The 13,191-nt window shown below is 42.6% G+C and overlaps 1 protein-coding gene across 4 annotated transcripts in view; it reads right to left on the bottom strand.

Moving 5' to 3' along the window:
• PAMR1 (peptidase domain containing associated with muscle regeneration 1) overlaps positions 1 to 13,191 on the bottom strand; it is a 98,474-nt gene that overhangs the window by 55,328 nt on the left and 29,955 nt on the right. For all 4 annotated transcript variants that reach the window (NM_001282675.2, NM_001282676.2, NM_001001991.3 and 1 more), the window contains 2 exons: positions 6,942 to 7,118; positions 4,891 to 5,019 (listed from right to left, as the gene is read on the bottom strand). In NM_001282675.2, coding sequence (NP_001269604.1) covers positions 4,891 to 5,019; positions 6,942 to 7,071 — 259 coding nt within the window. In that variant the 5' untranslated portion in view covers positions 7,072 to 7,118. The remainder of the gene's footprint in view (positions 1 to 4,890; positions 5,020 to 6,941; positions 7,119 to 13,191) is intronic.

Genomic DNA, 13,191 nt, shown 5'->3' on the forward strand with positions numbered 1-13,191 from the left:
CCAACTCACAGACCCATGAGAAAGAACAAACATTTGTCCTTTGAGATTGTTAGTTACCCAGAAAAAAAAAAAAAAAACTGAACACTTTATCACCACCATCCCTGAAAGCTTCAACTTAGAAACTCTACTCTCTGACCATAATACCCATTCCACCTATGTGTTCCATTACTTCATTACCACCAAGCCTGCTTTTCCACTTAAGACCTCCTGTCCCTATTGCCCCTCTACCAGGCTCTTTCTGATTTCATGTCCTTCCCAGCTGGGATCCTTGGTCAGTCATGTCTCAGCTTATTCTTGGATCAACAAAACAACTGGTTTTACTCCCTTCTGCTGCTGCACTTCCAGAGAGCATCAGCCAACGTCCTAACTGACTGCATCACCTCCCTAGGAACTCTGGCTTCGACTGGGTCCTCCGTCTCGCTTGGATATGCTTTAAGCTTAACACCAGCTGGTGCCTTTTCTTGTTCCTCAAGTGGCTGCCCCAAACCTTTGGTACTTTCAAGCCCCAACCTCACTTCTACTCATTCTCAGCAGATATTTCACTCCCTACTTCCCAGAGAAAACGGGAGAACTCACCAGCAGGAGGCAGACTAGGACTGTGGTTAAGAACAAGAGTAAGGGGTCTGGAATCGTCCTGGGCTTTACCCCAAAGTGTACGGCCTCAGGCAAGTTACTTCACAGCTCTGAGCCTCAGTTTCATTATCTATAAAATGGGAGTATGTATTTTCATAGGGTGATTGTACAGATGAAACAAGACATGGCACATAAAGTGCTCAGCACAGTTCCTACCATATAATTACTAACAAACAAGATATGCTACCTATAAATAATTCTTTTCCTCCTGTCTCAGCCTAGGACAGAAAAGGAAGCTCCCTCTCCTTTAACTCTCACTTTTGTTCTTGATCTCATAGGAAGTTCTTCTCCTTCAGGATAACATGGTCTTAACTTCTTCAGTTAGTCTTACTCTAATATGTAATATTTTTAATCTCTCCTACTGACACTTTACTCACATTAGCTTAAAACCTGTTTAACCCTTTCCCATCTTTTTTTTTTTTTTTTTTTTTTTTGAGAGAGAGACAGAGATGAGGTCTTGCTCTGTTGTTTAGGCTGGAATGCAGTGGTGTAATCATAGCTCACTGCAGCTTCAAAATCCTTGGCTGCAGAAGCGATTCTCCCTCCTCAGTCTCTTGAGTAGCCAGAACTACAGGCATGCACCACCATGCCTGGCTGAATTTTTTTAATATTGTGTAGAAACAGAATCTTGTTTTGTTGATCAGTCTGGCCTTGAACTCTTGTCCTCAAGTAACCTGACTGCCTCATCCTCCCAAAGTGCTGGGGTTACAGGTATGAGCCACTGCACCCGGCCTTTCCCATCTTAATTGGTATTTTTCCACAGCTGTTTATTTACTCATATAAACTATCACCTTAATTCTCCCCTTCCTTGCTTGATTAAGCTTATTTAAAAGAAAGTTGTCTGTATTCTTTTTGTCCATTTTTCACACTTCAAATCTTGCCTTTTTTTTTTTTTTTTTTTTTTTGGAAACTGTCTCACTCTGCCCAGGCTAGAGTGGCAGTGGCATAGCTAATTTTGTATTGTTTGTAGAGACAGGGTTTCACCATGTTGCTCAGGCTGGTCTCGAACTTCTGGGCTCAAGTAATCCACTGCCTTGGCCTCCCAAAGTGCTGGGCTTTCAGGCATGAGCCACTGCGCCCTGCCAAATTTTATATGAAACTGCTATTGCTCAGGTCACCAATCGCATGCTAGCCATCAAACACAAAAACCTCTTTACTGCCTTCATCCTATGTGACCTTTCTGCCTTTGAAACACTGCCCCCAGCTTCCAGAACCCTACTCCTTCCTGGTTCTCCTCCTATCTCTCTATCTTTTCCCATCTCCTTCCTGGTTTTCTCTTCCTTTCCTTTTACATCTGTTGCTATTTCCTCTGCCCATGGTGCTCTGTTCACCTCATGCTTCCATCTATAACAGCCATAGGCATATCTCAAGTCTCCAAAATTCTCTTGAGCTCCAGGCACTTATTTCCTACTGTCTGCAGAGTCTCTTATAGATGTCCAAATTCCAGCTTATCTCATGTGGAACTCACCTTCTTTCCCCCACCAAACCTCTTCCCTTTTATTACTCACTTAACAGCATCAACTTCTAGACAGTTAATCAAACTAAGAATTTGAAAGGCAAACTCTTGAGATTCCTTACCCCATTCTTCAGTGAGTCTTGAGTCCTGTCACTCCTTCCTTTAAGCTCTTCTCACTCTAGTCTCCCTTCTTCATCCCCTGAAGCGCTGCAATCGCACTCCTAATGGCTACCTTTGGATATGGTCTTCCTCCACTCCAGCGGAGTTATGCTACAAGAGTTATCTGTCAAATGGTACTCCCCAGATTAAACCATCCTTCATCTCAGAACCATGTCTAAGCTCTGAGCCCTGGAACACTATGCCCTTCATAGTCAGGGCTTGCCACCCCAAGACCATCACCTTGCTCTAATCATACCTCATGTCACATGCTTCCTTGAACACACCTTGCATTTTCACACCCTGACCATACTATCCCTCTCCCTGAAATATCTTCCTGCTCTGCCAACTGAAGAGCAAAGGCATAGCTCAACCTTCACTTCCTGTCTGAAACCTTACCTCCCTCTCCCTGTCATTAACTGTTCTGTTAGCTAGTTCTCAGAGCACTTGGTCCATCCTCTACTTCACCACTCTTCCTTGGTTCCCCACTGCACTTGCAATAGCATCTAAATTCCTTACCTAGCTTACCTACCTACAAGGCTGTATTAATCTGTTCCCACACTGCTAAGAAAGACATAGCTGAGACTGGGTAATTTGTAAAGGGAAGAGGTTTAATGGACTCACAATTCCACATGCTGGGAAGGCCTTGCAATCATGGCAGAAGGCAAGGGAGAAGCAAAGGCACATCTTACATGGCAGCAGGCAAGAGAGCTTATGCAGGGGAACTCCTGTTTATAAAACCATCAGATCTCCTGAGACTTATTCACTACCATGAGAACAGTATGGAGGAAACTACCCCTATGATTCAATTATCTCCACCTTGCCCCACCCTTGACACATGGAGATTATTACAATTCAAGCTGAGATTTGGGTGGGGACACAGCCAAACCATATCAAAGGCGTGATCACACTCCTGCCTACCACTCCAACCCCATCAAATCCCCCTTTCCCTCTCATGTGCACAGAGAAAGAGCACTCTTCCATATGACCCAAAGCAGGGAAAAACCCAAAGTGATCTTACATAATCCAAAGGTCAATGTGAAATCTAAAGCTGTGCACTACAGCTCTAATTACAACTATCTCAAACTATTATTGAAAGTAGTTTTGTCAGGCATGGTGGCATGTGCCTGCAGTCCCCGTCACTTGAGAGGTTGAATCAGGAGGATTGCTTGAGCACAGGAATTTGAGGCCAGCCTGGGCAACATAGTAGGACCCCATCTCGGAAGAAAGGAAAATAAATGAAAGGAAGAAGAGTAGTTTTATTTCTGAATCACCTAACAATTCAGTAATTAAGGGGCATATAGGATAACAGTGACATATTTATTGCATTAATTGAGCTTTTACTATTGTCAGAGCACTAAGTGCTTCACACACATTATCTCATTTAATCCTCAAATCAACCTTATGAAGTTGGTAGCATTATTCTCCTTTTTTATAAAAGGACACTGATATTAGCAAGGTTAGATGACTTGTCCAAGGTCATACTGGCAGTGACAGACAAAATCATTATTTAAACCTAGGTCTGTTTCATTCTAGAGCTTGTATTCTGCTCATTATGCAATGCAGTCTCCATAAATCAGCTGCCAAAGAAGACCAGGGTTAAATCTTGCAGCTAACCTACCTGGAACATAATCTGCCAGGTACTGAATTAAATTTACGAGAAACCACCTAAAATGGCATCGAAGTTTTAAATCAGCAACGAAGACCAACACTTAAAAAGTATCTGTATTATGGATAACTGAACTCCCCAGTTCACCTGGAAGTGCCAACAAGCCCCTTCTCCTCCTGGTATAGTTGAGTTTCTCAGCTGCAGACCATATACTCATCCTTAGCCACAGAGTCTTGAAACTGATGGTATTTCAGTACAGATTTTATCAGTCAAAGATACCAACCACACTCCATCCTCCCTCTCTGTAAACTGGAAATATCATTCATAGGAGTAAAATTAGACTGCAAGACCATTCTAACTGCTTCTGATTCAAGTTGGAAGCATATGGAATAAGTTAGTGAAATAAAAGCAATTTGTACATTGCTTGAGATACAGACTCTCAGAGGGACATTCATCATTCAGGGCACTGTCGGGGGGAATCTTGGACTGAACGAGAGATTAGATTTCCTCTCCATTTTCAAAGAACTGTTGAAACTCACAGAACTCTAATAAAAACTAAGTAATTCTTTCAGATCAAGCAGATCCCAGAAAGAATCTCTTTCCTCGGACAAAAGGCATGCTAGCAATTTGCTGTGGGTTGCAGGAATTTAATTCAGGATTCAAGAAATTTACCAACAGAAATTCATACGTACAGTGCACTACAGACAACATTTCTGAAGACTTATTCACTGTTTGCTGACCAAGGCTACCATGCAATTGCTTCTGGAATGCATAAAGCAGAAAGCCTTGGCCTCACTTAGGAAGAGGAGATTGAAGAGTAGACATAAACCTCCTGTGGCCAAGAATTCAAACAAATGTTCACAATCCACACCTTGCAGATGGAAATCCATCTTTGTTTTTATAGTTTTACCTAGAAAGCCCTCTGGCTGCAGGCTTTCCAAAACTCAGATTCCAAGGAGATAAATTTTGGTCCATTGTAAGCTGAGACTTTAAGACAGTGTGCACTAGAGATGGAGCTAGGTCAAGGTCTACTTACGCATGCAGTCTCCTCCGTACCAGCCTGCTCGGCACTCTGCACAGTAGAACCCCTTCACATAGAAGTCATCCAAGGTACCCCCCCATGAGCCATTTCGGCAGCTCTTGCAGTTTTCAAAGATGGTACAACCTGAAACATTCCCAAGAAGAGGAGTGTTAGGCCAAAGCACCTGCGAGTTCTGATCAGCTGCATGGGAGCACAACTGCACCTTCTCAGGGCCCTGTCTCAACTAAGAGCATCTGGGCCTAGAAAGGTGTCAGAGCCCAGAGGAAGAACCTCTCATCTCAAGGAAACTGCTAGAGGCACCAGAATTCAGACTGGGGAGTTTAGAAGGGTGGTCTCAACGAGTATCCCAGGTAGTGGCTGCTGTTTTAAAGTAACATGAAATTGCCTGCAGGAAACAGAAGAATCTATCAATATAGAGTCTTTTGTATAAATGTTACGTGTTTATTGTGGAATTTTTAGAAAATTTAGACCAGTAAAAAGAATTAAATAAAAAATATCTAAAACCCCATCACCCAGGCTATTGCTAACAGTCTTTCTCTGCCTATATACACATACATGTTTTAAATTAGACTTATATTACTTATGGTACATTGTTTTTGTAACTTACTTTTGAATTTCATAATAGACAGTAAATATCTTCCTGCCATATACTTCCGTAATGAAAGCATGCCATTGGAAACAACTCTCCTGTCTAACAATAGGCTCACCGTGGAATGTGTCGGGCTCCCCACAACCAGCAGGCCACACCAGAGGGGTCTGTGTGATTCCCCAACAAGGACCAGTTTAAAAACATGGCCTCTTGAGGGAGAGGGGGGTCGTGAGAAAAAGTACAAATGATTCAATCCCACTTAACAAAATGGAGAACTGAGTTCTGGCTCTGCCATCGTGCAGCTGTGTGTCCTTGGGCAAATTGTTTAAGCTTTCAGTGACTCAGTGTCCTCATTTGTCAAACTGGGTGATATGATTTGGATCTGTGTCCCCACCCAAAGAAGCCAGAGCATCCGACTTGACTCTGTTCTTCCCTTCCCTCTCCTATCCCACCCGATAGATCCCAACGTGTGGTCAATTCCATTCTCAGATCCCAAATCCCTCTACCTCTCACCATCCATAGAGCTTCTACCTTTATTAAGGTCCCCATTATTTCTCTCCTGCCTCTAGTCATGCGTGTCCTCCAATCCTTTCCCCATACTACAGCTAAAGAGAAAAATCTGCTTTCCCTTCTTTACTAAAAGATTTCCAATGTTATCAAAATATCTTCAGTATATAGCCTAAACTTTGAAGCACAGTTTGCAAAGCACTTCAGGATCTGGCTCTTGTTCCTCCCTTCAGATTGCTCTCTCTTAATCTTTTCTCATTCATTAATTCCCTCTCACTCTCCCTCTCCTTCTCCCTCCCTCTCTCCATCTATCCAGGTCTCTCATCACATACACATTTCTCCTGCCGGACTGTGCTAGTTGCATCTCCCAAAACCCATGCTTCCTCTTGCCACAGGACCTTCGCACATGTTATCCTCTGTGGCTTGACTTCTCCTCCCCATCCGCCTCACCTTGTTTAGTCTGCTTCTCCCATCAGCATGCTCACCACCTTCTCTAGTAAGTCTTCACTGACTTTCCTCCCACCTGCCCCCATTCCCATCCATGTTGCCATAGTACCCCATGCTTCTCTATCATAGCACTTACTACACTGTATGGTAGCTGCCTGTTCTCCATATCCCCCCAGGCTATAAGCTCTGGGAATGCCGGAAGTGTGTCTTTTGTTTTATCATTGTATTCCCAGTACCCCACATGGTACATAAAGCTGCTCAGTCAGCTTGTTAAATGAATGAGTGAATGAATTCAAAGTTTCACAAGTTTAACACTGAAAAGAGTACTGACTCCTTTTATTCCTGTGCCTTTAGTTAGAATGGGCTGAATTGTGTCACTTTTCATAATCATGGCACCACAGCCTCCTGATGGCTGCCTGCTAGAATTCAGGCGTTCAGCCTGTTCCTGTTCATTACCTCCAACAACATGAAGGCAACCTGAAGTCTCCCATTCCACACTCACCTGGGTGGATCAGGCAGGAGTCACACTCATTCTCCTCATTCCTGCAGCAAGGGATGGTATAACCCACGACTTCCCTCTTTCCGGGGCAGACGCACTCAATCTGATCATATTCACAGCACTCCCGACACATGATATTCCACTCTGCTCCAGGGCAGGCTTCATTAATGACTGTGTACTCTGAAATGGAAAACCAGCAGGTGAGGCTAGGTCCTGGCAGGGAGTGGTAAGACTCTTTGTTTGTTTGTTTGTTTGTTTTGAGACGGAGTCTTGCTCTGTCGCCCAGGCTGGAGTGCAGTGGCGCGATCTCGGCTCACTGTAAGCTCTGCCTCCCGGGTTCACGCCATTCTCCTGCCGCAGCCTCCAGAGTAGCTGGGACTACAGGCGCCCACCACTACGCCAGGCTAATTTTTTGTATTTTTAGTAGAGACCGGGTTTCACCGTGTTAGCCAGGATGGTCTCGATTTCCTCACCTCGTGATCCACCCGCCTCCGCCTCCCAAAGTGCTGGGATTCCAGGCGTGAGCCACCGCACCCGGCCCAGGGAGTGGTAAGACTCTTAAGTACTCTACTGCTAAGAGGCAACCTTGCCCTATAAATGCATTGCCCTGCCCGAATGAGAAAGAAGACCCATGTGAATTCTTCCCAGGCCAATGTCTCCAAAGTAGGGAGACCTACCCCAAGGAATATTTAAAACCACGCATGGGAGCATAGATGAAGTTTGTTATAACTGCTATTCATTTTTATTTTTATCTTTAAAAAAAGAAATCAAGTTTCATCAATATATAATCTAGGTGGATTGACAATAGAACCTGTATATAATTTATAAACCAGCACACATCTCTTAGGTGTCTATGCTTATTTATATTTTTGTTAGAATACATCAGGCCACTGTTTACGACTACATAGGTTGTGCACTGCACAGATCCATAGCGAGCCATTAAACTGCATGACTACATACTGCAGCCCAGGCATGTGGCCATCAGAAAATTTGGAGACCAGTCTCCACACCAGGTCATTCAAGTGCAAGGCCAATTGCCAAGTAGAGACTATGTCATTTCTTCCAAACTTGGCCCCTCAGTTTTTCAGCGTGCCATTTTCATAGTACCTTCAAAGCGAAAACCAATAGAAAAGACAAAAAATACCTTAATTAGTATGTTTGGGAGAATTTCACTGTTTTACAATGGTGAACTCATTAGCCCAACTTCATTCAGGCGCCAAGTGCAACTGAGTGTTCTTTCTCATAAGAAAAAAAAAAAAAATCCCTTTCTGGGCAGGATTCTTTCCTTCTCATTTTCTTTTTTTATATATACCTTCAGTAAAGAGAAAAACCATCTGGCAAAACCTATAAGAGGAATCAGTCAGAGGCTGCCCAGAAGAAGTCAGGCTAAGAAACAGACCTTCTAGTTTTGATTTCCTCTTCTTTTTCCCCACTCTCTATTTCTAAAAATTTTGCACAAAGATGACAATTACAGCTGAAATGAATTGGATATTTGAGGAAGTGAATCCGGACAAGATCCCCACAAAACCTTCCCAAGAAACTCCAGGCAGGGATCACCAGCATGCTTCGTAGGCCCGCATAAATGAATTCTAGCACCTGCAGTGGCTTCTAAACCCTTGAATTTCATAGTTTCCTCCCCAAATTAGGAAGTGTGACACAGGGTTGATCACTCTCAATTTTCCAAGTAGAGCCATTTAAATAAACTATCATCATCTATCTTAGCCTCAGGTCATAAGAACATGCTAATATCATAGAAGGCAGACACTCGCACAATGAGGGACAGTTATTTAAATGGAATAAATTTAGTTTCATGAAAATTTGACTTTTTAAATCATTTTTCCACAAATTAGTGGGCCAGAAAAGATCCTTACATTGGTGTTTGGGAATGAATGGCTACATCATCATAGCATAATCGCCACTGAGATTTCTTTCCACCACTACTGTCTGAGCCCCTTCAGGGTGACCACCATGACTTACTTAGCTGCGCTTCCCATGTCTCTGATGTTTTACTGACAAAGTGAATGACTTCTAAAATCTGGATGAGAATTTAATGGTTAAAAGTGAGGAACAGCAGAAGGAAACATAGGAGTAAATCTCCATCCATGATCTTGGATTTGGCTATGGATTCTTAGACATGACACCAAAAGCAGGAGCAACAAAATAAAAATGAATTAGACTTTATCAAAATTAAAAATGTTTGTGCAGCAAAGGACATTATCAAATAAGTGAAAAGACCACCCACAAAATGGGAGAAAATATCAGAAAATATTTCTGATAAAGGCTTGATATCCAGGACATATTTCTAAAACTCATACAACTCAACCATAAAAAAGACAACATAGTTTTTTAAATGAGCAAATGACTTGAATAGACATTTCTCCAAAGAAGCTATATAAACGGCCAACAAGCACACAAAAAGATGTTTAACATCACAAGTCATTTGGGAAATGCAAATCAAAATCACAATGAGCTACCACTTACTAGGGTGGCTATGATCCAAACCAAGGGAAAAATGGAAAACAAGTGTTGGCAGAGAAGTAGAGAAATTGGAACCCTTGTATATTGCTGATAGAAATGTGAAATGGTGCAGCCCCTATGGAAAACAGTTTGGCAGTTCCTCTTAAAGCTAAACAGAATTGCCCAGCAATTACACTTCTAGGTATAGATCTAAAAAATTGAAAACAGAGACTCAGAGATACTTGTATGCCAATGTTCATTCACAATAGCCAAAAGGTGGAAACAACTCAATTTTCCATCAAGAGACAAATGGATAAACAAAATGAGGTACATGGGCTGAACGCAGTGGCTCACACCTGTAATCCCAACACTTTGGGAGGCTGAGGCAGGCAGATCACTTGAGGCCAGGAGTTTGAGACCAGCCTAGCCAACATGGTGAAACCTCATCTCAACTAAAGATACAAAAAATTAGGCGGGAGCAGTGGTGCACACCTGTAATCCCAGCTACTTAGGAGGCTGAGGCACGAGAATCGCTTGAACCCAGGGGCAGAGGTTGCAGTGAGCCAAGATTGTGTCATTGGACACCAGCCTGGGAAACAGACCAAGACTCTTGTCTGAAAATAATAGTAATAATAACAAATAATATAAAAAATAAAAAATGAGGTACGTGCATACAATGGAATATTATTCAGCCATGAAAAGAAATGAGGAGCTGCTAGGTGCTACAATGTAAATGAACCTTGAAATCATGCCAAGCAAAAGAAGCCAAACACAAAAGGACAAATATTGTCTGATTCTACTTAAATGCAATATCTACAATAGGCAAATTCATAGAGACAGAAAGTAGATTAAAGGTTACCAGGAGCTGGGGGAAAGCTGAATGGAGAGGTGTTGCTTGATGGTTACAGAGTTTCTGTTTGGGGTGGTGAACTAGATACAGGTGATGGTTGCACAATCACAGGAATCTAATTAACGCCACAGAATTATACACTTAAAATGGCTAAAATGGCACATTTTCTTAGCCTTCTCTATCCTTCCACTCCTCCTCTGATTATCTGCACTGGGCTTTAATTACCCCTTAGCTCTCCCTTCATTGTACATTTATATCTTCCTATAGGTAAAATGTTTTTGTGTGTCCATAAACCCTAAGACCATGTTGACCACTCTGAATTTTCAATAAATAGTGATTGATCAACTATAACATGTCACTGTACTGATATTTATTACTGTACTACATTATAACATTCAACTTCTCTTCTTTCTCATTGCAAGTAAAATATCTAAAAATTATAACTCAATACAGCTTTCTTTTTTTATATATATAGCTTCTTTTTAACATAGAAAAAAATCATATTTTCAAAGGCTGAGAGAATGAAGGGAAGCCATCCAGTTAGAAAGGATAGCATACCCAAAGGCCACAGGATGGAAATAAACACAGGCCATATGCACAGGACAAAAACCAAGCTTACTTGAAAGTAGCAAAGACTATGAATCCTGTGCAAGTTCTTGTTTACATCACATGCTCCTACCTGTGCCAAGTTTTCCTAGTGGAATGTGTGTTATTAATAATATGCTGTAGTTTTGTAAATCCATGTGGTATAGCCCATTATTCAAATTATTCAAATTTTGGTATTTGTGATACCAGAAAAGGGCACATTTTATGTTATCTACATATATATTACCACAATTTTTTAATTGTGAAAAGTCGAGGAGGGAGAGTGAGAGAGAACAAATTGGTTAGAGGCTCAAACATGGGAGTCAACAGACCTGCATTTGGAATCTCCCTCTGCTACTTGCCTTGGCAAAGCTACGTTACTCTCTCAGTCTCAGTTTAGTATCCAGTAAAATGAGTGTACATTTTCTCCAATTTAGGCCTGTTGAAAATACTAGACAAAATAATGCATATAAACAGCTTAGCACAGCACCCAGTATGTACTAAACATTCAGAAACTAATAGCTTAGAAAGAAAAAAAGAAAAACAATAGAGAATGCTCATATTTCTCAAGGATATGGTTTTTTACGTATGTCAGATCAATTTCTTGCTTAAAATGGTCACCTTGCTTCCCATCGCTTTTGCAGTAACCCTCAAATTCTCTGCCCCAGCCCACAAGGCCTTTGAGGCCTATGCTCACCCGACTCCGTCCACCTTTTCCTGGCCACTGTTTCCCACCTTCTCTCCATTTCTCAAAACCACCAAGCTCTGGCCCACCTTGGGACTCCACATTTGCTTCTCCCAAGGCCTCCGTCTCAGGCCTTCACGTAAATGACGCCTGTTCAGAGAGGTCCTCCCTGGCCTTCCCCTCCAAAATGCACACCCCTTCGATCCCATCCGTGGTTATTTCTGTCTCACTATCCTATGTGTTTCCTTTCCTGGTCCTTACCACAGTTGAGAATCGTTTTCTGTTCTCATTTACCTGCTGACTGTCTGCCTCCCTTACATGCCCATAAGCTAACAGGAGCCACATCAAACCTGTTCACCACTGCCAGGGCAGGGCTGGCTGGCACACAGAGGTGCTGAATAAATATCTGTTGAATGAATTCGGCCTGAACTTAAGAGCTACCCTTCCTTCACTAGTCAAATATTTCCATCCAGTGGGTTCAGCTTGGAGCCATGAGCCAGGAGAGCCAGCTTTGCCTCTAACTTGTTGATACCAGAGCTGGGTGCCTTTCCTCCCACAGCGAGGTATCTAGACATGGGGGTCCAGGTGGCCTGCCTTGGGTTCATATTTCTGGACTCCAGCCCCCACCCTGTACAGATGTATGTTCGTTCCACTCTCTGAACAGCGAATATGCCCATGGGGTGTGGCTCATGCCTCACCCCCTCCCTCTATTCACCCTGCGGCAAGCACTACATCCTTCTAGGTTTTCTAATAATTTTGTAAATACTAATAACTCAAGGGAGGACACCAACAGGATAAATAATTTGCAACTTTTATAAGATTCTGTACATCAACATGGAAGGCCATTTAAGGTTTGTTCCACTCCCTGTTTCCCCCTAAGCAGCAGATTCGTTCACCTCCGGCCTGTCACATGCCAGGGGTCTCCCTTTTACCCAGGAATTAATTCCCTAAAATAGCTTTATTGGTATTTCTCTTTACTCCAGTGAGCAAGCCCACCTCAGCCCTCTTTACTCCATTACTGTTTACTCTATAGATAAGATCCATTTCTCTTTACTCCAATGAGCAAGCCCACCTCTGCCCTCTTTACTTCATTATTATTTACTTTATAGGTAAGATCCATCTCAGTCTAAGGGAATGACCCCAGGGAATCCTGGCAGAAGGGATTTTACAGATGTGACTAGTTTAAGAATTTTGAGATGAGAGGCATATGCTGTAATATCCAGGTGGAACCAATGTAATCACAAGGCCCCCCGTAAGAGGGAGGCAGGATGGTCAGAGTCAGAAAGGAGGTGTGCCGACAGAAATGGAGGTTGGAGTGATGTACTTTGAAGATGGACTGTAGAACCACAACCCAAGGAGGCAGGCAGGCAACCTCTAGAAGTCTGAAAAGGCAAATAAACAGCTTCTCCTGTGGAGCATCCAGAAGGAATGCAGCCCTGCCAACCCTTTGATTTTAGTCTTGTAAGATTCATTTTAGACTTCTGACCTTCACGGCTGGAAGGTAATACATGTGTGCTGTTTTAAAGCCCTAAAGTTGTGGTAATTTGTTACAGTATCAGTAGGGGACTAACATACTGGGACTTCTTGAAAGAAAGGTTAGCCCACAGCAAGTCTTTGAATCACTCTGTTCCTCATTTTCTCCACTGAGCACAATGCCAAGAGCAAGGGTGAATCGA

This window comes from Homo sapiens, chromosome 11 (assembly GCF_000001405.40).
Source record: "Homo sapiens chromosome 11, GRCh38.p14 Primary Assembly".
In the NCBI taxonomy this organism is placed as follows: Eukaryota; Metazoa; Chordata; class Mammalia; order Primates; family Hominidae; genus Homo; species Homo sapiens.